We start from the raw sequence: 26247 nt of genomic DNA on the forward strand, positions 1-26247 counted from the left end.
ACTCATAACATTTTAGAAAAATACACATTTATTAGTGTGAGAATTCTCTTTCTTGTGTTAGGCTAGTCTGTGTTCCTTCTCAGGATAAATATTAAACAACAGAGTTAAAAGCCACTTCTAAATATAGCATGTATTAGCAGAAAAAAAAATAATTTTTGACAGAAAATTTTAAAGACTAATTTTGAAGGGATCTGAGAGATGCTACTTAAAACTAAGACTGGTTTATTTCTACCCCTTTAAGAATCCATTTCTGACATTACCCTGTCTGTGTTACTCAATTTTCTACTGAAATACACCTTCACTAAACTACTAGAAAATGTCCACTTTATTTAATAAGGAATTTCATGGTAATGTACATAGTGTTCAAATGTTCCTAATCATCTATTTATATAGATTTCACTTACTGCACAATGGCTTCAACTTAGGAAAGTTGGGAAGTTTACTGTTCTTTAACGTCTGCTTTTGCAGCTTAATCAAGAAATGCTTCTATCTGTACATTGTTATGAGGCAGTGGAAAGGATATCTTGAGAGCTACATTAAGCTCAAACTACCTCAGGACATTCTCCACATTTGCATAATGTTATTTGCTGTGTCACGTTACCCAATCATATTCTACATTCAACACCTAAAGAATGGCATAAACATGCTAAACCAACTATACAAAACCAATATTAGCATTTTATTATTTAATTTTATTTTTTACTTTTATTTTAGATTCAGAAGATACATGTTCAGGTTTGTTACATGGGTATACTGAGTGATGCTTAGGTTTGAGGTATGAATGATTTCATTACCCAAGTACTGAGCATAGTACCCAATAGTTAGTTTTTCAACATTTGCCTCTTACCCTTCCTCCCCTCTCTAGCAGTCACCAGTGTATGTTGTGGCCATATTTAGGTCCATGAGTACCCAATACTTAGCTCTCATTTATAAGTGAGAACATGCAGTATTTGGTTTTCTGTTCCTGTGTTAATTCACTTAGGATAATGGCCTCCAGGTGCATCCATGTTTCTGCAAAAGACCTAATTTCATACTTTTTCATGGTTGCACAGTATTTCATAGTGTATATGTACCACATGTTCTTTATCCAATCCACTGTTGATGGGCACTTACATTGATTCCATGTCTTTGCTATTGTGAATAGTGGTACGATTAACATGGGAGTGCATGTGCCTTTTTGGTAGAATGGTTTGTTTTCTTTTGGGTATATCCCCAGTAATGGGATACCTGGGTCAAATGGTAGTTCTGTATTAAGTTCTCTGAGAAATCTCCAAACTATCTTCCACAGTGGCTGAACTAGTTTACATTCCCAGCAACAGTGTATAAGTGTTACCTTTTCTCCACAGCTCACTAGCATCTTTTTCTTTTATTTTTATTTATTTATTTATTTATTTATTAAATTTTACTAATACCCATTCTGAATGGTGTGAGGTGGTATCTCACTGTGATTTGTGATTTGAATTTCTCTGATGATTAGGGATGCTGAGCATTTTTTCATATGCTTGTTGACCATGTGTATGTCTTCTTTTGAGAAATATCTGTTCATGACTTTTGTCCATTTCTAATGAGTTTATTTGTTTTTTCACTTCCTGTATTGTTTAAATTCCTTGTAGATTCTGGATATTTGAGCTTTGTCAGATGCATACTTTATGAACAGTTTCCTTTGCTGTGCAGAAGCTCTTTAGTTTAATTGGATTCTACTTGTCAATTTTTGTTTTTGCTGCAATTGCTTTTGAGGACTTAGTCATAAATTCTTTCCCAAGGCCAGTGTCCAGAATGGTGTTTCCCAGGTTTTCTTCTATGATTCTTATAGTTTGATGAATAACATTTAAATCTTTAAGACATCCTGGGGTTAATTTTTGTATATGGTGAATAGTTAGGGGTCCAGTTTTATTCTTCTACATATGGTTCACATACATTTTTTATTAGAAAATAAATTGAAATATCATCTGCAAAAGATTAAGGAGAGTTTGCTGGCTTTCCTTCATGACAAGTCAGCTGCAGAAACTCATATTTCCACAGGGTTTATTCATTCAAATAGCCTAGCTCTATGTATGTGTAAATATCCACTGTAAAAAATCTCAACAAACAATTACTGATTTGCAAGATAGTCTAGTAACGCTCTGGGATGAATCATGAGTAAAGTGTTAATACACAGATTTTTATATCTAAATGTAAAGTTCACTAAAAGTTATGTTAACAAAACAATGAATATACCATTAGCAACAGACTATTTTAGCTTGATTTTAGCACTGTTAAAGTTTAATGCTTTTTAAGTCAGCAATACTTGTATAGTTTTTAAAGTAAATATTTATAATATAACTAATTAGATCTACAATGTATTTTGCTAGACCAACATAAAAAGCAATAAAAAAACTGTTAATCTGCAGGAAATAAAAAGCTTAAAAACTGAAGTAAATAAGGAAACCTCACAGAATAGGTACATACTTATTCAGATAATTTTGTCAGGTCAAATAAAATAAAAGCAGAAACATTTTGAAAAATCCACTTATTTTAACCCTTAATTAAGAGTGCATAACTGGAATTTTTTATTTATGGATAAATGAAATAAAATGAGCATGAAAATTTAAAGTAATAGAGTCCTTCAAGTACTGATATCCCACACAAAAAATCTAGCATCATATTTCTGCTATAAAAACTAAGCATAAATTTATATGTTTATATATTATTTATATCATAAAGAGATGAACATAAATTATTAAATGAAATTAATTAAAATGAATTTTTCTGTAAATGTTCTCTTACTTTCTATTAGGTGGAATAATGACATATTTGATCATCATGACAGAAAATGTATGAATAGAATGATTTCTACCAATTTTAGAAATTCAACTATTAGATATGGGTAAAAGTTGGAGAATAAGTTGACAAAGTAAATTAACTAGATATTTGTGTAAAGGAAAATAGAATATGGTCAATTCATAACACAAAATAATTTAAAACATTGGTAATTCCAGAATTCAATCAGGCATGTAATTATCTAATTTTATGTAATTCCCTCCATATTATGTAAATAACATGGAGCCATAATATGGAGGAAAATCTATGTCTTTTAATTTCAGTATTTCAAGGGGACCTCTAATACCCTTACTTATTAATTAAACATACGCGCGCGCGCACACACACACACACACACACACACACACACACACACACACAAGGGGGAAAATCAGGGCCTGACGATCATACTACAGGAGAGGAAAATCTAGAATAATAAGAACATAGGAGGAAATACATTCTTTAGAGAGAAAATAGAATTACTGTACAAAAATGAGAGAATAGCTATTTTCTTATTCCTTTGATTACTGACAATTTCTTTATCTTGGACAGTCCAAAAAGTATTTTCACATAAAATGAGTAGCTCTTAGTTACTTTTAACATAAAAGATCTTAAGCAAAATAATTAATATCCTTTTAATTCAAATGTCTTGAATATTTTAACTTTTATTCTTTATTTCTGTTCCATTAACCGTGTCGTATCAGCAATTAGAACAGCAGTTAGTATGTAATATTAGCTTAAAGAGAGAATTGTTAATCTGTAACAATTTTCTATAATTAACGGAGTTAATTTGAAATAAACAAATTGCTTTCCATTAAAAGATATTGGACATCAGCAGGAAAAATTATTCATGCAAGTGAAAAGTTAGGGAGAAAATGGGTACTTTTTTTTCTCCTGTTTCCTGAAGTATTGTCTGCAAGCAATTCTCCACTTAGATTTCTTCCAAGGCTTTTCTGTTCTGGCAACGATTTTACTGAATTAGCTGGATTACTGTGATAGAAAGACTCTGTGTTTTCCCTTAGTTATTTCCATATTTTGATATTCATAGCTTTATGTAATCGGCTTCTCTTGAATAGTGGGTGATGCTTGTGATTTGCTTCTTACCAAACAATACAAAAAGGCGATGGAATGTTCCTTTTGACAATACAATAGGTAAGATTGTAACTTCTTGCTAGCCAATTCTGTTGATGCCCTTCCTTGCTGGTTTTCAAAAAGTAAGCTGCCACATATAGAGACCCTTGTTTCAAGGAGATGAAGGCCTCTGTCCACCCCAGTCGACTTCAGTTCGACAGAAACAGATTCCTGCCAACATCTTCATAAACTTAGAAGCAGATCCTTTTTTGTATGAGTCTCAGATGACACAGCCCTTTTTGACCCCTTGGTTTGTGCCCTTATGAGTAAACTAAAGTAGTCACCATTTCTGATCCACAAAACTGTGAGTTACTAAACGTGTGCTATTTTTAGTTGCTAGTATTGTGTTAATATTGGTACCCAGTAATAGATAATTAATGCAGTAATTACCTAGGTGTGTGAGATCAATCAAACTTCCATTTTTCATTGCCAATTTGCTTAGATCATTGATAAAGATTCAAATTTAAATCAGGGAATAATTAATTTTTGTAGTAAAATTATATGCCGCAGTCATGTTTTCCTAATCTTTCAGATTACAAGGCTCTCAATTGTGTTTAAACAAAAATAATGTTTAGACAATAGCAGAGACCTATCCAATTTGCTCTAAAAATCAGTCATAATTGATTTTTAATTTTGTACAAACAAAACAATAAGCCAACAGTTTTCTTCAATTTAAGTCTTTGAAAATATCAGGGGAATGAAAATAATTAGTGTTCTGTTATATTTTCACTTGAACGTCAATGCTTCCCATTTCCCTTCAAAGAAAATTATTAATAAAGCAAGTTGAACCTCAAATGGCATTATCCCTTATGAAGGAAAATAAAAGTTTTAGGAGAATGACATACTGGCAAGTTTGTTTTTAAAATAATTATGTGTGTATGTACAAACATATAAATGTATATATGTGTATATATATATATGAAAATAAATATTACATATCAAACACAAATCTCAAGCATATATAGGACAAAACTAGCATACTTTGTATTATGCTTTTTATTATAAGCCTGCCTTTGCCTTAGGAAAATATTAGAGATACAGCATATATATATATATATATGCTGTATCCATATATATATATGCTGTATCTATATATATGCTGTATCTATATATATATATATGCTGTATATATCAGGTATATATATACCTGATATATATAAACATTTATATATGTATAAACATTTATTTATATATGTATAAACAAAATTCAAAATCGTTTGAATTTTCTGTATTATTGATTGATACCGCTATCTTACAAATATAATATGTTTCTCATAGAACTATGTTGGATTCTTCTGTGTGTGTGTGGGTGGCATTTTCTCATTTACTCTTTCAGATAAAATCTAAATTAGACTAATGGCAGCAAAGCTGAGAACTAAATTTCATAAGCAAAGGAGAGCTTCTTTATCAGAGTCAAAATATTGAGCAAGCAAATTACAATTACCTTAATAATGGATGAATGGAAAATATTAGCAAGAGTAGTGTGGGTGATGGATTAAAAGATAGCTGAAATAGGCACACATGGAAAGCCAGTGTGAGAAAACATTACACTGGTATCATCTGCTTAGAAATATTCAGATATTTAGCAACTCTCAACTTCATTTTTTAATATTTTCTCCTCAGTGTAAACAACATTTATACATTCCTGAAAGAGCATAAAAGTGAACATTGAAAAGTTTTTTTTTCTAAAAATTCTTATCTAAAGTAGAGTAAGGTATGATTATTATAAAAAATATGCCTTTCATTACTATAAATACTATTTATATGGAGTCAAGTGCCAGTAGTTTCTCATGAGACACTAGATTTTTAAACTTTTTTTAAACATTTTATTGCAACTTCCACAATGTGTGAGAAAAGTGAATAGAAATATTTTTATTTATGATTTTAATTTTTTTCACAGCTATCGTAAAGTTTTCATATTATATTTCATGAAGTTGCAAAATTAAGCATATTGTAAGTTTAGGTATTGACAAGATAATCAATAGCGTCTTTGCCCTATTTACTATTGATGAATCATACATATGAGTTTTTAAAATATTTTAGGTAAATATGTTACAAGGTTTTGTGTCTTTATTATTGATTAATAAGATATGAGAAAATTACACTGCATATTACTTAGTTTCTTGTGGTTTAGTTAAAAATTTTAAAGTAGAATTATTCTAAAAACTCTAATCTGGTTTCACATGGCAAAAGCAAAATAATAATTTCAATAATTTTATGAAGTATATTATAACCCTATATTCACAGAAACAAATACATTAGATAGGTGTTAGGTTACAGCAATAACAATCAATTGTTGCTAAAATAGTAACTTTAATATATTTTACAATAATTTTTTATTGCTTTAATAGACTAATACCAACAGAAGCAATCCTATTTTATATGACAAAACTGGGAAAAAATGAAATTATTTATTAAACAAATTAGGCAACCTTTATAATTTAATTTAAATATTTTAGTGAGAAACTTTCATGTTCTCAATTCAGAAATATTGATTTTGACAAATGCTTTTACAAAATTATATCATTTGACTTAATTTTCTCTTGAAAAAATACATTGCTTTCAGTACAAAAACAGAAAATTTGTTTTGCAATAGTTGGCCCACAGTGACTTTTCTGTGCTGAATAATGACCTAAATCTAATTTCTAAGAGAGTTGTTAAAATTTAGTATGAGTATAGATTATAGATGTAAAAAATTACAGATTTACATCCAGCTGGATTCTTCCTTCTTTTATGATCATGAGTAGACATATATTCTCCCTATATGGAAATTAAATTAGAGATCTAAGGGTTAGATAATAGATATTAAGTGTTTAATATAATATCTGATTAATAGTAGATGCAAATGTTAGTTATTATAAGTATAATGACCTAATTAGTTCATAGAATACATTAATTACACCAATGTATATTTAGTATACAGGCAATACAGTGTGAATACAAAACTAAGTAATACATACTCATTTCTTTCGGTCTTGAAGTTTACCTTCTGGGTTGCAAAGATATAAACAAACAAAAAATCAACAACATGGTAATATTTTATCTATTACAGGGGCTGAGAAAAGCATTTAAACATTAAACAATGTGTTCGGCTTAAATGATAATGACTAGTTCAGTAGCGTGTTGTGGAGAATCAGATTGGGAGGTCAGATATTCCATGTGAGGTTTATGAAATTTAGGAATAATGATGCCAAAATACCAGCTGTATAAAGATTGAAAACAGAATGTTCAAAATGTTAAAATAGAAACAAAATTTTAAATCTGAGAAATAGCGATGTAGTTGTTTTGCACTTGAAGGCAATCAGTACAATGCAAGTTCAAGAATTATAGGGAATCTTATGGGTGACAAAATTACATTTAAAAATAATTTTAACCAGAAGAGAAATAACTTGTGTTTTTAAACTGCAACATGAGCCAAAGTTAGAAATGTACTGGATAGTCAACAGAGAAACTTCATAAAATAGTGAATAAAAATAATATATACTTGGATTTTGTTTTTGTTCAGGTATGGTGAGGCCAACAGATGAGGAGATGATTGCCATTAAAAAGATAATTTATTACTTAAAGTACCAAAAAAAGGGGTGCTCACCACACCACTCAGAGTCACGTCAAGGGTGGTCATAGGTGGAGAGTGAGGAGAACGGTGGGAAAAGTTTTACTGCGGTTTTTGCAGGAAGGAATGAGTGAGACGGCATAAATGGCTAAACAGGTTTTATGACTGGCTAGTTTGAATAACTATAATGGATTTCAGGCTGTAAGTTTGCTGAGGCCCGGTGCCAGAGTGATTAAGCAGATGAATAATGTCTCAGAAGCGTTAAGAGTAAATAAAATAGAGGCTGGTAGGGGGGTTGGGCTTTAGATTGGGTAATTTTCATATAAAATACACACTCTAGGAAGAATCCTTCGTTACATGTAGGAGTCTTCTAACTCTGGGATGGGCAATCTTTTCCTAGTCTTCAAGGTTCCAGATGTCAAAACATTAGACAAAGAAACTGGAAAACCTGTTTCATACAACATCGTTGTTTGCCCTTTGATTTAAAAAGTAATAGACCTGAGGCCAGATGCAGTGGCTCATGCCTGTAATTCCAGCATTTTGGGAGGCCAAGGTGGGTGGATCACCTGAGGTCAGGAGTTCGAGACCAGCCTGGCCAACATAGTGAAATCCCCATCTCTACTAAAAATACAAAAAAATTAGCCAGGTGTGGTGGCAGGCACCTGTAATCCCAGCTACTCAGGAGGCTGAGGCAGGAGAATCACTTGAACCCAGGAGGCAGAGGTTGCAGTGAGCCGAGATTGTGCCATTGCATTCCAACTAGGGCAACAAGAGGGAAACTGTCTCACACACACACAAAAACAGTAATAGACCTCAATCAATGACCTGGAAGATGAGTCAATAGAAACTTCTCATACTGAAATGCAATAAATAAATAAAGAGAACATGAAAAAAGCAAAACATCCAAAACTTGTGTGACATTTGAAAGTCATAACACATGTGTACTAGATAGTAGGTTGGTGCAAATGTAATTGTGGTTTTTGTATTTTTGAAATTTGACCATTGATATTGAAATACATTCTTAAATAAATGTGGTTATGTTATACATCATGTTAATGGGCATTTTTTACCTCATTTTATATTTTGCTAATTATTATTTGCTGTTCGTTTTATGTTTATTTTAGACTACGGAAATAATGTTAGACAAAAAAAAAATTGAGTGATTTTCTTATTCAAGTTCAAAATGGGTCATAAAGCAGCAGGGACAACTTGCAACATCAACAATGCATTTGGCTCAGGAACTGCTAATGAACGTATGGTACAGTGTTGGGTCAAGAAATTTTGCAAAGCAGACGAGAGCCTTGAAGATGAGGAATATAGTGGGCAGCTATCAAAAGTTGACAATAACCAGTTGAGAGCAATTATCCAAGCTGATCCTCTTACAACTACACAAGAAGTTGCCAAAAACTCAACATCAACCATTCTACAGTTGTTGACATTTGAAGCAAATTGGAAAAGCAAAAAAGCTTGATAAGTGGGTTCTTCATGACCTGAGTAAAAATCAAAAAAATCATCTTATTCTATGCAATGACAACAAACCATTTCTTAATTGGATTGTGACATGAGACAAAAGGTGGATTTTAAGCAACAAACGGTGATGACCAGCTCAGTGGTTGACAGAGAAGAAGCTCCAAAACACTTCCCAAAACCAAACTTGCACCAAGAAAAGATCAAGGACACTGTTTGGTGGTCTGCAGCCAGTCTGAGCCACTACAGCTTTCTGAATCCCAGTGAAACCATTACATCTGAGAAGTATGCTCAGTAAATCAATGAGATGCCTTGAAATCTGCAACGCTTGCAGCTGGCATTGGTCAGCAGAAAGGGCCCTCCACAAAATTTCTTGGCACAACCAATCCTTCTAAAGTTGAACGAATTGGGCTCCAAAGTTTTGCCTTATCTGCCATATTAACCTGAACTCTCACCAACCAACTACCACTTCTTCAAGCATCTTGGCAACTTTTTGCAAGAAAAATGCTTCCACAACTAGCAGGATGCAGAAAATCCTTTCCAAGAATTAAATCCCGAAGCACAGATTTTTACACTACAAGAATAAACAAACTTATTTCTCATTGGCAAAAAAAATGTTGATTGTAATGGTTCCTATTTTGATTAATAAAGATGTGTTTGAGCCTTGTTATAATGACTTAAAATTCACTTTCCAAAACCGCAATTCTTTATGCACCAAAATTTAATATATCAGAAAGAAAAAACAAAAACAGCATTAGAAAAAAATAGTAGTAATAATGACTAAATTCATGATTGACACCAAGCTACAGATTCTGAAAATTCAATGAGCATCATTATTAATTTAAAAACAGAAAAAAGCAAATATATGTATACTAAATATATATGTGTATACTAAATATACCATTATCGAGAAAAAAAGCAAGCAAACAAATAAGCAAACAACACTAACATATTATATCCAAATGCAAAGGCAAAGAAGAAAAAATTTTAAAACCAAAGGGGAAGGAAATCACTCTACATATATAATTACGGTATACTTTTCCTTAGAAACCATAAAAGCAGGAAAAGATAAAGTGACATATTAATATGTTAAAAGAAAAAAATTCATCGGCCTATAATTCTCTATTCGTTAAAATTATCTTTTAAAAGTGAGTTAAGAAACAAACAGGCCGGGCATGGTGGCTCAAGTCTGTAATCCCAGCACTTTGGGAGGCCGAGGCGGGCGGATCACGAGGTCAGGAGATCGAGACCATCCTGGCTAACACGGTGAGACCCCGTTTCTACCAAAAATACAAAAAATTAGCCGGGCTTGGTGGTGGGAGCCTGTAGTCCCAGCTACTCGGGAGGCTGAGGCAGGAGAATGGCATGAACCCGGGAGGCAGAGGTTGCAGTGAGCCAAGATGGCATCACTACACCCCAGCCTGGGTGACAGAGCAAGACTCCGTCTCAAAAAAAAAAAAAAAAAAAGAAAAGAAAAGAAACAAAATTCTCCAAGGAAACAGAGCGAATTCATCCCCAACACAATTTTCCTGCAAGAATTGTTAAAAGAAATCTCAGGGGAAGAGGGAAAATAACACAGAAAAAAAAATACTGATCTGTATAAGGAATCCTAGACAATTGGAGAAAGGCAATATGATGATAATTATTTTTCTTTTTCTGTATTGATCTGAATGATAACTAGTCGTGTTAAGAAGTAAGAGTATATTGGGTGATTATAGCATATGGATAAGTGAAAGGATTGATGCAATGTCACAAGAGATGGGACGAGAAACTGGGGTTATTCTGTATGTGTACTACAAATGAAGTGCTATAAAGTTATTTGAAAGTGAGTTTAGATTATTTAAGAGTATTTTCTAAACTCTTCAACAACCACTAAAATTTTTTAAATAAGTATAAATAATCTAGTAGGAAGAAGAAAAAATATAATCCCATAAAACGTTCAGTTAAAACCAAAGAAGGCAGAAAAAAGAGGAGGAAAACAAAGAATCAATATAACAGATAGTTAATAAAGATTAAAGACAGTAATAAAAATATTTCAGTAATCACTTAAATGTGAATCATCTAAATGCAACAACTAAAATAGAGAGGTTGGCTAGGTTCACCTGTAATCCCACCGCTTTGAGAGACAAAAGCAGGAGGATTGCTTGAGGCCATGAGTTCAAGACCAGCCTGGGCAACATAGCAAGGCCCCTTCTCCACAAAAAGTAAAAACTTAGCTGGGTGTGGTGGCACACATCTGTACTCCCAGCTACTTGGGAGGCTGAGACACGAGGATTGCTTGAGCAAGGATCCAGTGAGCCATGACCACACCACTGTACTCTATCCTGGGTAACAGAGCAAGACTCTGTCTGAAAAAAAAAAAGAAAAGAAAAAAAGTACAGAGATTGTCAGAGAGTACTTTTAAAAAGTTCTAAATATATGCTGCCTACAAAAAAAAAAACTTTAAATATAAACAGTTTAAAGGTGAGTAGATGAAGAGATATATATCACGCTAACATTAATCAAAAGTAAACTGAAGAACTAGGGAAATGATCAGGAATAGTGGGCCAATTATTTATGGAAACATAATAATCCCAAATGTATGCACCTAACACAATGTCAAAGTACTACTGAAAAAAGAAATAGACAAATTCACTATTATTATATGGAGACTTCAACATTTCTTTCTCAGTAATTGACAGATCAAACAGGTAGAAAACCAATAAAGATGTAGTTGACCTAAACAACATTCAATCAACTTGATCTAACTGACAATTATAGACTACCCCATTCAACAGCAGAAAATACATTTTCTCATGACCACATAGAACATTCAACAAGATCAACCATATTCTATACCATAAAACAAATATGCAATACCAAAAAAAGATGTCACTGTGGAATTAATTAATAATCAATAATTTAAAGATGGATGGTTAATTGCCAAATATTTTAAATTAAAAAAACACTTCTAAGTAATACAAATATCGTGAATTTTAAAAAAGTGAAAATACAACTTGTTAAAATTTATGAGATGCATTGAAAACAATTATTAAAGGCAAATTATAGCACTAAATGCATATATTAGAAAATGTGAAAGAGCTGAGTTCATCAACATAAGGTTCTGTCTTAAGGATTAATGAAAGAACAATCTAAATGTAAATCAAGCACAGAAAAGCTAGAATAACAATTAACACAAATAATTAAGTTAAAAACAAAGAAGCAATTTGAAAACCATGATTATCTCAATAGATGCAGAAAATGCATTCGATAAATTTAACATACTTTCATGTTAAAATCTCTCAATAAACTAAGTATTGAAGGAACTTACCTCAAAATAATAAAAAAAAATTTATGAAAAACCTGCAACCAATATACTGAATGGGCAAAACCTGGAAGCATTTCCCTTGAAAACTCGCACAAGGCAAAGATGCCTTCTCTCACCACTTCTATTCAACACAGTATTAGCAGTTTAGCAGTTCTGGCCAGGAAAATCAGGCAAGAGAAAGAAATAAAGCTATTCAAATGGGAAGAGAGAAAGTCAAATTGCGTTTGTTTGCATATGAAACAATCCTATATCTAGATAAAACCCCATCATCTCAGCCCAAAAGCTTCTTAAGCTGATAGGCAATTTCAGCAAAGCTTCAGGATACAAAATCAACGTACAAAAATCATAAGCATTGCTATACACCAACAATAGACAAGCAAAGAGCCAAATCATGAATGAACTCCCCTTCACAATTGTTACAAACAGAATAAAATAACTAGAAATACAGTTAACTAGGGAATGAAGGACCTCTTCAAGGAGAACTACAAACCATTGCTCAAGAAAATCAAAAAGGACATAAACAAAGAAAATAAAAACATTCCATGCTCATGGATAGAAAGAATAAATATTGTGAAAATGGCCATACTGCCCAAAATAATTAATAGATTTAATGCTATTCCCATTAAACTGCCATTGACATTCTTCACAGAACTAGAAAAAAACTATTTCAAAATTCATATGGAAGCAAAAAGTAGCCTGTATAGCCAAGACAATCTTACGCAAAAAGATCAAAGTTGGAGGCATCATGCTACTCAACTTCAAACTATACCACACTACATTAACCAAAACAGCATGGTACTTGTACAAAAACAGACACAAAGACCAATGGAACAGAATAGAGAACTCAGAAGTAATACTGGACACCCACAACTATCTGATCTTTGACAAACCTGATAAAACAAGCAGTAAGGAAAGGATTCACTATTTAATAAATAGTGCTGGGAGAACTGGCTAGCCATATGCAGGAAATTGAAACTGGACCCCTTCCTTATGCCTTATACAAAAATCAACTCAAGACAGATTAGAGACTTACATGTAATACCCAAAACTGTAAAAACTCTGGAAGAAAATATAGGCAATACCATTCAGGACATAAGCATGGGCAGAGATTTCATGATCAAAATGTCAAAAGCAATTGCAACAAAAGCAATTAAGCTAAAGAGCTTTTGCACAGCAAAATAAACTATCATCAGAGTGAACAGACAACCTACAGAATGGGAGAAAATTTTTGCATCCTATCCATCCAAAAATTTTGCATCCAACAACCCCATTAAAAAGTGGGCAAAGGGCATGAACAAACACTTCTCTAATGAAGACATTTATTTGGCCAAAAACATATGAAAAAATCTCAACATCACTGATAATTAAAGAAACACAAATCAAAACCACAATGAGATATCACCTCACACCAGGCAGAATAGCGATTATTATTAAAAAGTTAAGAAACGAGATGCTGGTGAGGCTACAGAGAAATAGGAACACTTTTACACTGTTGGTAGGAATGTAAATTAGTTTGATTCTGGAAGACAGTGTGGCAATTGCTCAAAGACCTAAAACCAGAAATACCATTCGATCCAGCAATCCCGTTACTGAGTATATACCCAAATAATATAAATCATTCTGTTATAAAGATACATACACATATATATTCATTGCAGCAATATTCACAATAGCAAAGATATGGAATCCACACAAATGCCCATCAATGATAGACTGGATAAAGAAAATGTGGTACATATACTCCATGGAATACTATGCAGCCATAAAAAAGGAATGAGATCATGTCCTTTACAGGGACATGGATGGTGCTGGAAGCCATTATCCTCAGCAAAGTAATGCAGGAACAGAAAACTAAACACTGCATGTTCTCATTTAAAAGTGGAAACTGAACAATGAAAATGCGTGGACACAGGGAGGGGAACAACACACACTGGGAACTGCTGGGAGTGTAGGGGGAGGGACAGCATCAGGAAAAATAGCTAATGCATGCTGGGCTTAATACTTAAGAGATGGATTGATAGGTCCTGCAAACCACCATGACACACATCTCCCTATGTAACAAACCTGCACATCCTGCACATGTACACTAGAACTTCAAATAAAATAAAAAAATACACAAAATAAAATAAAAGCAAAATAAACAAAATTAAAAGCAGGTGCTTTGGAAAAATTAATAAAATTGATAAATCTCTAGCCAGGCAAACCAAGAAAATGTTGAATATTTCTTTACATATTTAGCACTTTTTTGATTCATTTTATCAGAATTTTAGTTTACCATAATTAGATCCTGTACATATTTTGGTAGCATGCACACTTGATATAATGTGATAAGAATGATATAACTTTTGTGGTCTTTTCCTCAAAAACCCACCCTCCTGGGTAATGATGAGAAAACAAATATTTATACATATCCGAACTTAGTAATGCCCTACAAAGTATCATACTTTACTTACCAAAGCTGTTAAGGTTGTCAAAAACAGGGAAAGTCTGTTCTTTCCCTCATAGAACTGAGGGTCCTTAGAACACAAGATGAGTAAATACAATGTGTTGTCTTTTATAGGGCACAAATTAGCCTCTGAAACAGATTACATACCTATGTCATAAATATTTGTAAGACATCCAATGTGTCTTCAATACTAGAAATACACAAGTTTATAGAAAAATGACAAATGATCCTCCTAATGCGTAAAATGAGCACAATCATGTGAATTAATCAGGGTGGTTGTTAGTATTAAAATGAGGATAATATATGAGTAGCTCCAGGTGAAGTAACTGACAATGGGTAGCCAATCAGTAACACAGATGTTGCTGTTGTTACCAGTTTGTTTACATTATTTTATGTATTTTGAGAATAGTGAGTAGCTTTTTAAAAAATTGAGACTATATCTTGAATATATTATAATAATGCTTCATTTCACAGACGAATATGAAGCCCAGATGAATAGTCTGCCCAAGATGTCATAGTGAGGGGCAAAGGTAAAATTGCACTTCTTTTTCACTGCATTGTCCAAAATATTATAAACAATTTTAAAATAATTACATTAATAATTTAAAATTAATGTGTTCCTTATATTGCTGGCATATTTTATGAGTTTCCATTATATCTCGTAATAATTTTATTTTATAAAATTACAGGTAACATGAAAACATTTAAAAATTACAACACAGCTTTCTGGTGCTTATTTAGACATCATAATAATCTCAATCTGGCTTTGAAAAAATAAAACTAAAGTAGGCAGTTTATTTGGTAAACTATCAAATTATACTTATCCTAATCGAAGCTATGGCACATATTGTTTTGATTTCTACTGATTAGTGATCAAACAAGCAAAAATATTTTATTCACGTCATTTGATTGAACCATATCATCTGCAAAATAGGCCTTGCCTTAATGTTAACAGAAGAGTATAAAAATATTTATGTCTCTGAAATAGACAAGAATATAGCCCATCTGCTGCATTAGACACAGAGCTAATTTTAAACAAGGCTTCCTCCAAAATGTCTGTCCTCTTAAACAATTTTCATTAGACTAAATTATCACATTCAGACTCTTTATAAATGAGAATTATATCCAACTTGCCCTTATTACCACTTAATTCTTACTAATGAATAAATAAATATACTTTTGCATGGTAAATAGAAATAATTTAAAGGCAATTTGGCCTCTCACCAAAAAAAAGGAAAAATAAAGAGTGAAATGCCTTAATATAGATACCAAGATGGGAGGTGACTCCAGGTCAAATTAATATAGATCGAGTAACTTTATAGGACTTATTAAAAATAGTTATATTTGCTTGATTATAGTTCTCCAGAAAGATAGATTTTTCCTCCTTTATCCACCCATTGAAAACTATTAATATGTCATGGTTTAAAAAATCTGGTTCGTGGCCGGGAGTGGTGGCTCATGCCTGTAATCCCAGCACTTTGGGAGGCCAAGACGGGCGGATCACGAGGTCAGGAGATCCAGACCATCCTGGCTAACACGGCGAAACCCTGTCTCTATTAAAAATACAAAAAATTAGCCAGGCGTGATGGCGGGCGTCTGTGGTCCCAGCTACTCGGGAGGCTGAGGTAGGAGAATGGAGTGAACCCGGGAGGCGGAGCATGCAGTGAGCTGAGATAGCACCACTGCAGTCCAGCCTGGGCGAAAGAACAAGACTCCGTCTCAAAAAAAAAAAAAAAAATCTGGTTTGTAAAATAGTTTTAAAATCTACAATCACATGTTAATAGGCAGTTTATTTTGATAACTTGTTAGTGGAAAACATGAATATAAATGTTAGTTGATATATATATTCTCTTTGCACTTCAGCAAAGAGCTTGCAAGAAATTTAAAAAATAACAATATTTACTAAGTTTGCATACTTTTGTTATTTCATCTAACAGCATCAGAATAATAAAAAATATATTAAACAATTTTTAAGGAATAGGAGACAAGGACATGACTTGATTATCTCAATGGTAAAAAGGTCTTCAAATTTTTTGAAAATGAAGACTAAATTTTTGTTGAATGCAATTCAGTCACACATTAATATGTAGGGCCAGAATTCACTTTTTTACTCTACTGTTTACCATCTATGTTAGGGTTATCCAAAAACACAAAAAATATTGTAAATATGTACACATATATATTTACAATTTATATGCAGGATTTATAACTTTTTTTTTTTATTTGACATGAGGTCTCATTCTGTCACTTAGGCTGGAGGGCAGTGGTACCACCATGCTGACTACAGCCTTGACCTCCCTGGCTCAAGTGACTATCCCACCTCAGCCTCCAGAGAGAGAGGGGGTAAAAGATTTCTAAAAACTGGCTCATGGAATCATGGGAGTGGCACAGGGCAGTCTGGCAAATGAGAAATTCAGGTAGAGTTGATGTTCCAATCTTGAGTGATCATACAGGGCAGCAGACTGGAAATTAAGGCAAAATTTGTATGTCGCAGTTCTGAAACAGAATATTTTCTCATTAGGAAATCTAAGTCTTTGCTCCAAAGTCCTTCAGCTGATTTGATGAGGCCCATTCACATTATGGAAAGGAATCTGCTTTGCTTAAAGTCAAGTAGTCATAAATATTAATCTCATCTAAAAAATACTTCCACAGCAATATTTAGACTAGTGTGTGACTAAATAACTGGCTACTATAAACTAGCCAAGTTGACACACAAAATTAATCTTCACAGCATGGTAGAATAATAGTGGTGACCATACTAGCTGTAAAGCTCAGATACCTAAAGTATCTGCCTGGTTATCACTATTGGGTCCGGAATTGGTTCCTTCCGGTGGGTTCTTGGTCTGGCTGACTTCAAGAATGAAGCCGCGGACCCTCATGGTGAGTGTTACAGTTATTAAAGATGGTGTGTCCGGAGTTTCTTCCTTCAGATGTTCAGATGTGTCTGGAGTTTCTTCCTTCCGGTGGGTTCGTGGTCTTGCTGACTTAAGGAGTGAAGCCACAGACCTTCGCAGTGAGTGTTACAGCTCTTAAAGGTGGCATGTCCTGAGTTGTTTGTTCCTCCTGGTGGGTTCATCCTCTAGCTGACTTTGAGAATGAAGCTGCAGACCCTTGTGGTGAGTGTTACAGCTCATAAAGGTAGTGTGGACCCAAAGAGTGAACAGCAGCAAGATTTATTATGAAGAGTGAAACAACAAAGCTTCCACACCCTGCAACGGGACCACGAGCAAGTTGACGCTGCTGGCGCCTATGGCCAGCGTTTACTGCCTTATTTGGCCCCACCCACGTCTTGTTGATTGGTCCATTTTACAGAGTGCTGGCTAGTCTGTTTTTACAGAATGCTGATTGGTGCGTTTACAAACCTTTAGCTAGACACAGAGCGCTGATTGGTGCGTTTTTACAGAGTGCTGACTGGTGTGTTTACAAAACTTCAGCTAGGCAGAAAAGTTATCCTAGTCCCCACCCGACCAGGAAGCCTAGCCAGCTTCACCTCTCACTATCACAGGACATGCTATCACAGGACATTGGTATCAAAGGACATACCATCTTCCTTTGGGCTGAAGTTATAGAACTGAGGAAAGCCTATCTAAAATGACTTTTTAAAAGTATGATGCACCAATGTGAAACACTATTAGCTACAGTAAATAAATATACAAAGAAAAATTTCTCTGACAAATCAGGATACACAGAAATAGTATCATAAACTTAAGAAAGAAAGAAATAGACAAGAGAGAGAGAATTTGCACAACTCTACTCAGATGAATGAGCCTTGTCAAATATTTTAAATGATTAAATGTATAAAAATATTATTTGAATACGAGGCTTCAGAAGTACAGATAATATATAAAATTTTATGCACATGTATTTGTGTGATACATAGATTCCCTATAAGAATATTTAGATTTCATGCATTTAATTATGTATGTCTTATCTAGTTTGCATAATTTTTATTTTCTTCAGCTATGTGTTTTAGTAAATATGCCATTCTTTTAAATTACTTATTTCAAAGTTCAACTGTATTTAACTCTTGTCATTTTTATAGTAGAATGATGAATTCTTTTTTCTGCTGTTTTTGTATATCAATTTTCTGCTTTTTATTGAAATGAACCATTTCACTATTATAAAAGATAAATTCCTTATATCAAAATAATTTTACTATCCATTAATTTTTGGTGCGTTTTATTGACATGGATTCAAAAGATTTAGAAGGATACTGAACAAACGGTCAAAATATATTAAATACAAATAAATTTTAAAAATAATGGAGGCAGGGTGATTTTAGGACCCACCATTGTATTTTATACCCTTTACAAAAAATACATATATTAAATTACATTATAATGCTATGTTTCATGCAAAGTTTGAAAACTAAGTATCAAATTTCTTATTTATTATTACTATTTTATTAGCATTAATATAACACTTCAGAATGTGGCTAGATACATGACATCACACATTTAATTCAATAGCAAACCTCAATAAAGCTGGCATTAAAGACTAGTTCTAAATAAGCTATTAAATTCCTTTAAAATGTGTTTTATTATCTTTGGTTATAAAATTGATTTCAGCTGGGCACAGTGGCTCATGCTTACAATCTCAGCACTTTTAGAGGCTGAGGTGGGAGTATTGCTTAAGGACAGGAGTTTAAGACCAGCCTGAACAACAGAACAAGACCATACCTCTATGAAACCAAACCAAACCAAACAAAACCAAACCAAAAAACTAGTCTGGCTTATTGGCTCATGCCTATAGTCCCAGCTACTCAGGAGGTCGGATTATCACTTGAGCCTGGGAGGTCCAGAATGCAGTTTGGCCATGACTGTACTACTGCACTATAGCCTTGGTGACAGAGTGAAAGCCCATCTCGGAAAAAAAAAAAAAGACTGCTTATTCATACATGTGGCATCACTAAAATTTAATACATCTAATTTGGTACTGTAGTAATAGTGTTTTCATTATAATGATATGTAATTCCACTTGTGTTGCAGTCAGAATAAAATTTGTAAGTTTTAGACATGATTAACCATAACTACTGACAAAAGTTTAATTTAACCTTACTGTTTCTTCAGAGTTTGATATCTTTCCATGTACTGATAAGTCAGTGACTTCACATTTCCTTTTTACCTTTTCTGCTATTCATAGCCATACATATATCTGAAAAAGACCTAACCCTTGATTGATGCTTACACTCTATGTTAATATTCTGCTGGATAAACAGTAATCTTATGATAGTACTTAAAAAATCTAGTTTAAGAAAGTGACACTTGGAGAATTATTACAGTTGACCTAGGGAATATTAATATATACCATTCTTTGCACATATCCGTTATTTAAATGGGCTATTTTGCACTCATGAAACAATTGAAAAGCTCAAATATCCTGTATTAACATTATAAAACAAAGGCTGGTTATAGTTCAAATATTTCTAAGCGACAGAAAATGACATCTTAATATTACAAAGAATAGGTCTTTTAAGCAAAGATGAAACATACAATGAAGGGCATTGTGAGAAGGCAGCTGGCATACTACCCTCTGTACAAACAGTCCTTGACCTGTGCCCTGTTCTGTCAGTAGCCAGATGGTCTGAGGATTATTTGTAAGTGTGTGATACCAGATATGGGCCAACAAGGAATACAAGGTTAGAACAATCACAGATCTCTGTATATGACATTGACACAAATTAGCAAAATATACATCTTTCAATCAGCCAAATAATGGTTGTCAGAATCAACCTAAAAACAACAGGAGCAACTTTTAAATACATCATCTGCTGGCATTCTATTTTTATGTTGTAATGGGTATTTTAATGATAATCATTAAATTTCTTGGCACACATGCACATTCTACCAGTATGCCAGCCTTTAGAAGTTTGCATTTATTATTCTTGGTCTTTCAAGGATGTGGTATTGAGGTTTTTTGGTTTCAGGAGTAATTAATATTGTAATTACATCTACCTTAATAAAATTCACACCTACATGTGTTTAAATGAGCAGGTGTACTTGTGTATAGTTTTGATCAATAGATTGAGATTATTTGGCCCTTAATATTAAATTTATATATTAAAATTATATGAAAGATAAGAGTACAGAAAAAAAGTGTCATGTTTTCTCATTTCAAAATAAATGAAAATGATTTTATCTAATCTTGTTGTAGTAACATAAACTAAAATAATACAAGTCAAGATAATTAGACCCAGGCTTCTAAAATAAAATGTTTATGGTTTTCAAGAGAAAACATTTAAAAAATATATCATACTTTGGATTCCCTAAGTTTTATGCAATTATAATTGATCCATAATGTGAAAATGGTCACAGTTTTTGTAATAACTAATGAAATAGTAATGAAGCAAAATATACAAAACTCTGCTATTTCTAAATAAGTGAGGTTCAAAGCTATTTCTCTTTTGTGACATAAAGTAGAAATCCTGGAGATGCTTCGTGTTTATAAATTTTGTTTTGTTCATAATCTTTGAACATATTTTGTAACATAAACCAAAAACTCCCTGCGACAGGTTTCAATAAATTTAGAAGTTTATTTTGCCAAGGTTAAATGCGCATGCCTGGGAGAAACGTCTGTGCCTTTCTCCAGAATGATTTTGAGGGCTTCAATATTTAAAGGGTTAACTGAATCTACATGTTGCAAGACAAAAGTAACAGTAGGGAAATAATTATGTATTTGTCTCCTGCCCACTATAAGATAAGGTGAACACAGAGTAGAATAGCTATCTTTGGAGATACATTTCTTCTGTAGCTATCTGCTTAGGAATAAAAGAAAAGACAGCTTTTTTGCATGACTCAGCTTACATCTTAATTTCTTTTTTTTTTTTTTGGCAGAATGAACTGGGGTCCCTCGTTTTTATTTTCCTTTCTCAGTAACAACAGCAAATGTAAACTGCCTTGTCATCTCTGGTGGGCATAATAAATCTTACACTTGGACTTTGGTTAATACTCGTCACTGAATATACTTTGAAAGCATTCTTTTTGTATATGAAGCAACTGTATGTATTATTGTTATTTTCTCAACAGAAATAATTTGATTTCTGCTTTCCTGTGGCTTACTACATACAAAAAATGTTGAAAAAGTCAACGAAACTATTTTAAAGCCATTGTGTTTAACCATCAATGACTTCTGGCTTCTCATGTAAATCAAGGAGAAAGGCTGCGAAGATAATATCTGAGTAGTGGAAGCAGAAGGAACTGCTCCTCTTGGGTTTGAATTTTCATTACAAATTTATTATTTTTATTGTCAGATTTATGCTTCAGTTGCTTGAATTAAACACATGAATTTTCTGTATATTCAGGTTTGTTTCAGTTACTAAGAGAAGTTATTTTAATTCAGCTATGATTTAACTTTGTAAATTTGCAAATTATATTCTTCAGCTTTTTAACATCTAAATAAATATACCTCAAAGACTTGACCTCATTTATTGTAGAACAGCTCTAATGCTAGCATTATAAAGAATACAAGATTCAGAACACTAAAAATAGAAATATAAACCATTTTATTACTGTGTTCTTGATTTAAATTTTGACTCGATGTCCACAATAGTTTAGACAATTTTAAATAATATGCACTATGTTCACTTGCAACAGATCTTAAAGAATCATTTAATTAATATTTGTCTTTGGAATCTACTAGAAAAAAGAAGGCAGAAATGTTAATCCAAGCCATGCCATTTTGCAGACCCCCACGATTTTACAAACTCTGCTCAGAGTGGAAAATTCCACCAGGGCCTGGACCATGAAAAACATACAGTTGGACAGGTCCCAGGCCTAACCCTAACCACAGTAAATTCCTTCCTTATCAGTGGCCAAACACATGGCCCCCACCCCATTTTTGCAACAATCCCAGACCTCTGGGGTCCATGCCTGTAAGGGGGGAAGGGGGACCTGGTGCTAGTTGTTTCCCCCGCCAACACCACACCGCAGATCTTTCTCCCAATAAACCTGTGTTGCCACTGAGCCACCTCTGTTCTGTTCCTTCTCCCTTTCACTCTAGAAAAATTAAATAAATAAATAAAAATAAAAATAACTGGTTAAATTATGAAATATTTTTACTACTTTTCTTCATGAATTTTTAGTTTACATATAGCAAATTTCACTATTTTTGTTGTACATTGGATGCTTTCACTTGGTGGTCAAACTCTTACTCTACCCTTAACCCAGATCTCCTTTAAGTCCCTATTATTGTTGGGTCTTCCAGAAAGTCACATAAATAAATCACACTTTCTGTGCCTTAGCTTAATGTGTTGTGTTTGACAATCATCTACTTTGTTGGGTACATTGATAGTTCATATTTACAGCTGAGTAGATTCTATTGTGTGGCTGAACCACAGTTTACCTGTTCTTTACATGAGCAACATTTGGATTGTTTCCAGTTTTTGATGATTATGAATAAACCTGCTATAATTATTTGCATGTAGTTCTGTGTATATGGATTTTCTATTCATTTGAGTAACATTTCTATGAGAAATGTAACTTTAAAATCCCTTGGGCTGTTTGTTAGAAAATGTTATCTGTGAAAAGAGATAGTTTCATTTCTTCCTTTCCATTGGTAAGCCTTTAACTTCTTTTTCTTGCTTTCTTGCTCTATGAAAATTTCCACTACAATGTTGAAAAGGAATGGTGGTAAAACAACCTCTACAAAAATTGTAACAGTGAAAAAATTATGGCAGTGCAGGAGATCTGATCTAGCCAATCTTCTAGCCTTTAGTGTGCAAGCTGTCTTTTATTATTCCTGGGCTTAAGCCAAGCTTACTTTAGAGACATTTAGTTTATAGTTTAAATAATAATAACCCTTCCCCAAAACTCGACTGCCTTTGTGAAGCTAATATGTAATATGAGACCATCTGTCTAGGAGGACAGAGGAGCCTGAATCCTGCTAAGGTGTAGACATAAACTATGGCTGGCCATTATTCCAGAGGTCAAAAGATATGCAACTTTCCCAATTCCTCTTACAGATAACATCACTACTGTAGAACCTAAATTGGCCGTTTGAGAGATCTTTCCAGGATTTTTGCATTTCTGATGACTGATGGCTCCACTTGAACCTGCCAACTGCCCCTGTGGCCCCACCGGGAAGATACTAGGTGCAAGAGGACAGCTTCAGTTTCCTATAATTTCATCTCCAACTCAGACAGTCAACACTCCCCATACCCTAGACCCCTGCCCATCAAACTATCTTTGAAAAACCCTTAACTTCAGAGCGTTCTGAGAGATTGATTTGAGTAATAACTCTGTCTCCTGTGTGGCGTGTCCAGCCTCGCGTTAATTAAATTATTTATTTACAGCAATGCCAGGATTTCTGTAAATTGATTTTGTTTGTTCATTGAACAGGAAGGACGTGTTGGGCAGTTACAGTGAGAGTGGTAATACTTGCTTTGTCCACAATATTAATGAGAATTCACTCAGCTTTTCACTATTAAGACTTTAGTTGCAGGATTTTTTTTTTGGATGTTATAACATTATGAATATTTTCTCCTATTACTATTTGCTAATTTTTAATTATGAATTAGTGTTAAATTTTGTCACATGCTTTTTCTACATCTACTGATATATCTATGTGGTATTTTCTACTTAATAAGTTAACAGGGCAACTGAGGATTGTTATTTCCAAATGTTGAATTTGCTTTGCATTCCAGGATTAACCTCTCCAATCTCCAGGACCAGAATATATTATCCTTTTTGTATATTATTGGATTTGATTTTCAGAAAAACTAAATTCAGAATTTTATTTCTAGTAATATAAAAGATATTGGTCTGTAGATTTATCTCTGGATAAATAATTGTTTTGCTTTGTTGAGAATGTTTTTGTTCAATAACATAAGACATATAATGGTTTGTAGATTTATTTCTTTGTAATGTCTTTGGTTTGGGTATTAGAGTAATGCTGATTTCATGAAATTTGTTGGGAAGTATTCCTTTTTCAAAAAAGATTATGAAGAATTAAAATATTTATTTATAAATGTTTGTTAGAATTACCCAGATAAAATTTGTTGACCTGGTATTTTCTTTCTGAAAAGATTTATCTATGAATCTGATTTCTTTAATAGACAAATTGTTCAGGTTATCCTTTCTTCCATGAACTTTGGTAGTTTTTGTCTTTCAAGGAACAGACTCATTTGATTTAAAATGTCAGACTCACTGGCATTGAGCTGTTTGTAGTTTTCCCCTATTCTTTTAATATCTGTCAGGGGTGCAGTAATACATCTTATTTCATTTCTGATATTGGTAACTTGGGCCTTCGTCTTTATTATTCTTGATAGAAGTGTATCCATTTTACTGATCTTTTTAAGAAATTTTTTTTTGCTTTCATTTATTTTCTATGTTGTTATTTTTTTGTTTGCTTTGGTTTTGTTTTTGAGATGGAGTCTTGGTCTGTCACCAGGCTGGAGTGCAGTGGCACAATCTCGGCTCACTGCAACCTCCGCCTCCCAGGTTTAAGTGATTCCCCTGCCTCAGCCTCCCAAGTAGTTGGGACTACAGGCACACACCACCATGCCTGGCTATGTTATTTTGTTTTAAATCTTACTGATTCTACTCTTCATTTGATTTGCTCTTCTGTTTCATTTTTTTTTGTAAGTTGAGATTTAGATTATTGATTTAAGTCTCTTCTTTAAATTCCTAACATTGGCCATTCTGAATTTCTCTTTTAACTGCACTGTAGCAGCATTACACACATTTTGATACGTGGTATTTTCAGTTTCATTCAGTTTAAAGTATTTTTTCTAATGTCTTTATGACTTCCATTCTTATCCATGGGTTATTTACAATACAATTGTTTTCTGCAACTTTCAGGTATTTGGACATTTTTCTTCATATTTTTCTATTTTTGATTTCTGATATCATTTGTTGAGGTTAGATAGTAGAGTTTGTATGATTTCAAATCTTTAATTTCTTGAGGTTGACTTTATGGACCAGCACACTATCTTGGTACATGTTTCATGCACACTTGACAAGAATATGTATTCTATGCATAACACTGTTCTCAAGTGTCTTGTTCTATAAATATCTATTAAATCAAATTGAATGATGACACAGTTCAGATATTTTATGCATTTTCTGATTCCTGACTACTTATTCTATCAATCATTGAGATAATTATTGAAGTCAACAATATAATTATGAATTTATCTATTTCTCATTTCAATTCCTTCATTTTTTTCATATGTTTTAAGATATTTTGTTAGGTGTATACACATTTGGGATTAGTGTGTATTCCTGATGATGTAACTGATCAATGAGTTTATTTTGTCTACTGACCAGATAGAGTTGACTTATCAAGACAGAGGAATAGCAATAAAGAGTTTAACTCATGTAGAGCTGACTGAACAAGAGACCAGAGTTTTATTATTACTCAAATAAGTCTCTCTGAAAACTCGGGACACTGTGGTTTGTTAAGGACAATTTGTGGGTAAGGGTCAAGGGAGTGGGGAGTGCTGATTATTCAGGTCAGATTTGAAATAACAGGGAGTCGAAGCTGACCTCTTTCTCTGAGTCAGTTCCTTGATGGGGACCACAGGCTCAGATGACAGAGTTTACCAAT

At 33.2% G+C, this 26247-nt stretch overlaps 1 annotated feature.

Annotated features, from left to right (window-relative positions):
- Nucleotides 21347-21547: a silencer, noted in NCBI's record as "peak345 fragment used in MPRA reporter construct". NCBI's record gives its function as "represses an SCP1 promoter by STARR-seq MPRAs in K562 erythroleukemia cells {active_cell/tissue: K562}" and the evidence as "EXISTENCE:reporter gene assay evidence [ECO:0000049][PMID:32103011]".

The sequence above is a fragment of the Homo sapiens genome, chromosome 1 (genome assembly GCF_000001405.40).
Source record: "Homo sapiens chromosome 1, GRCh38.p14 Primary Assembly".
Lineage (NCBI taxonomy): Eukaryota > Metazoa > Chordata > Mammalia > Primates > Hominidae > Homo > Homo sapiens.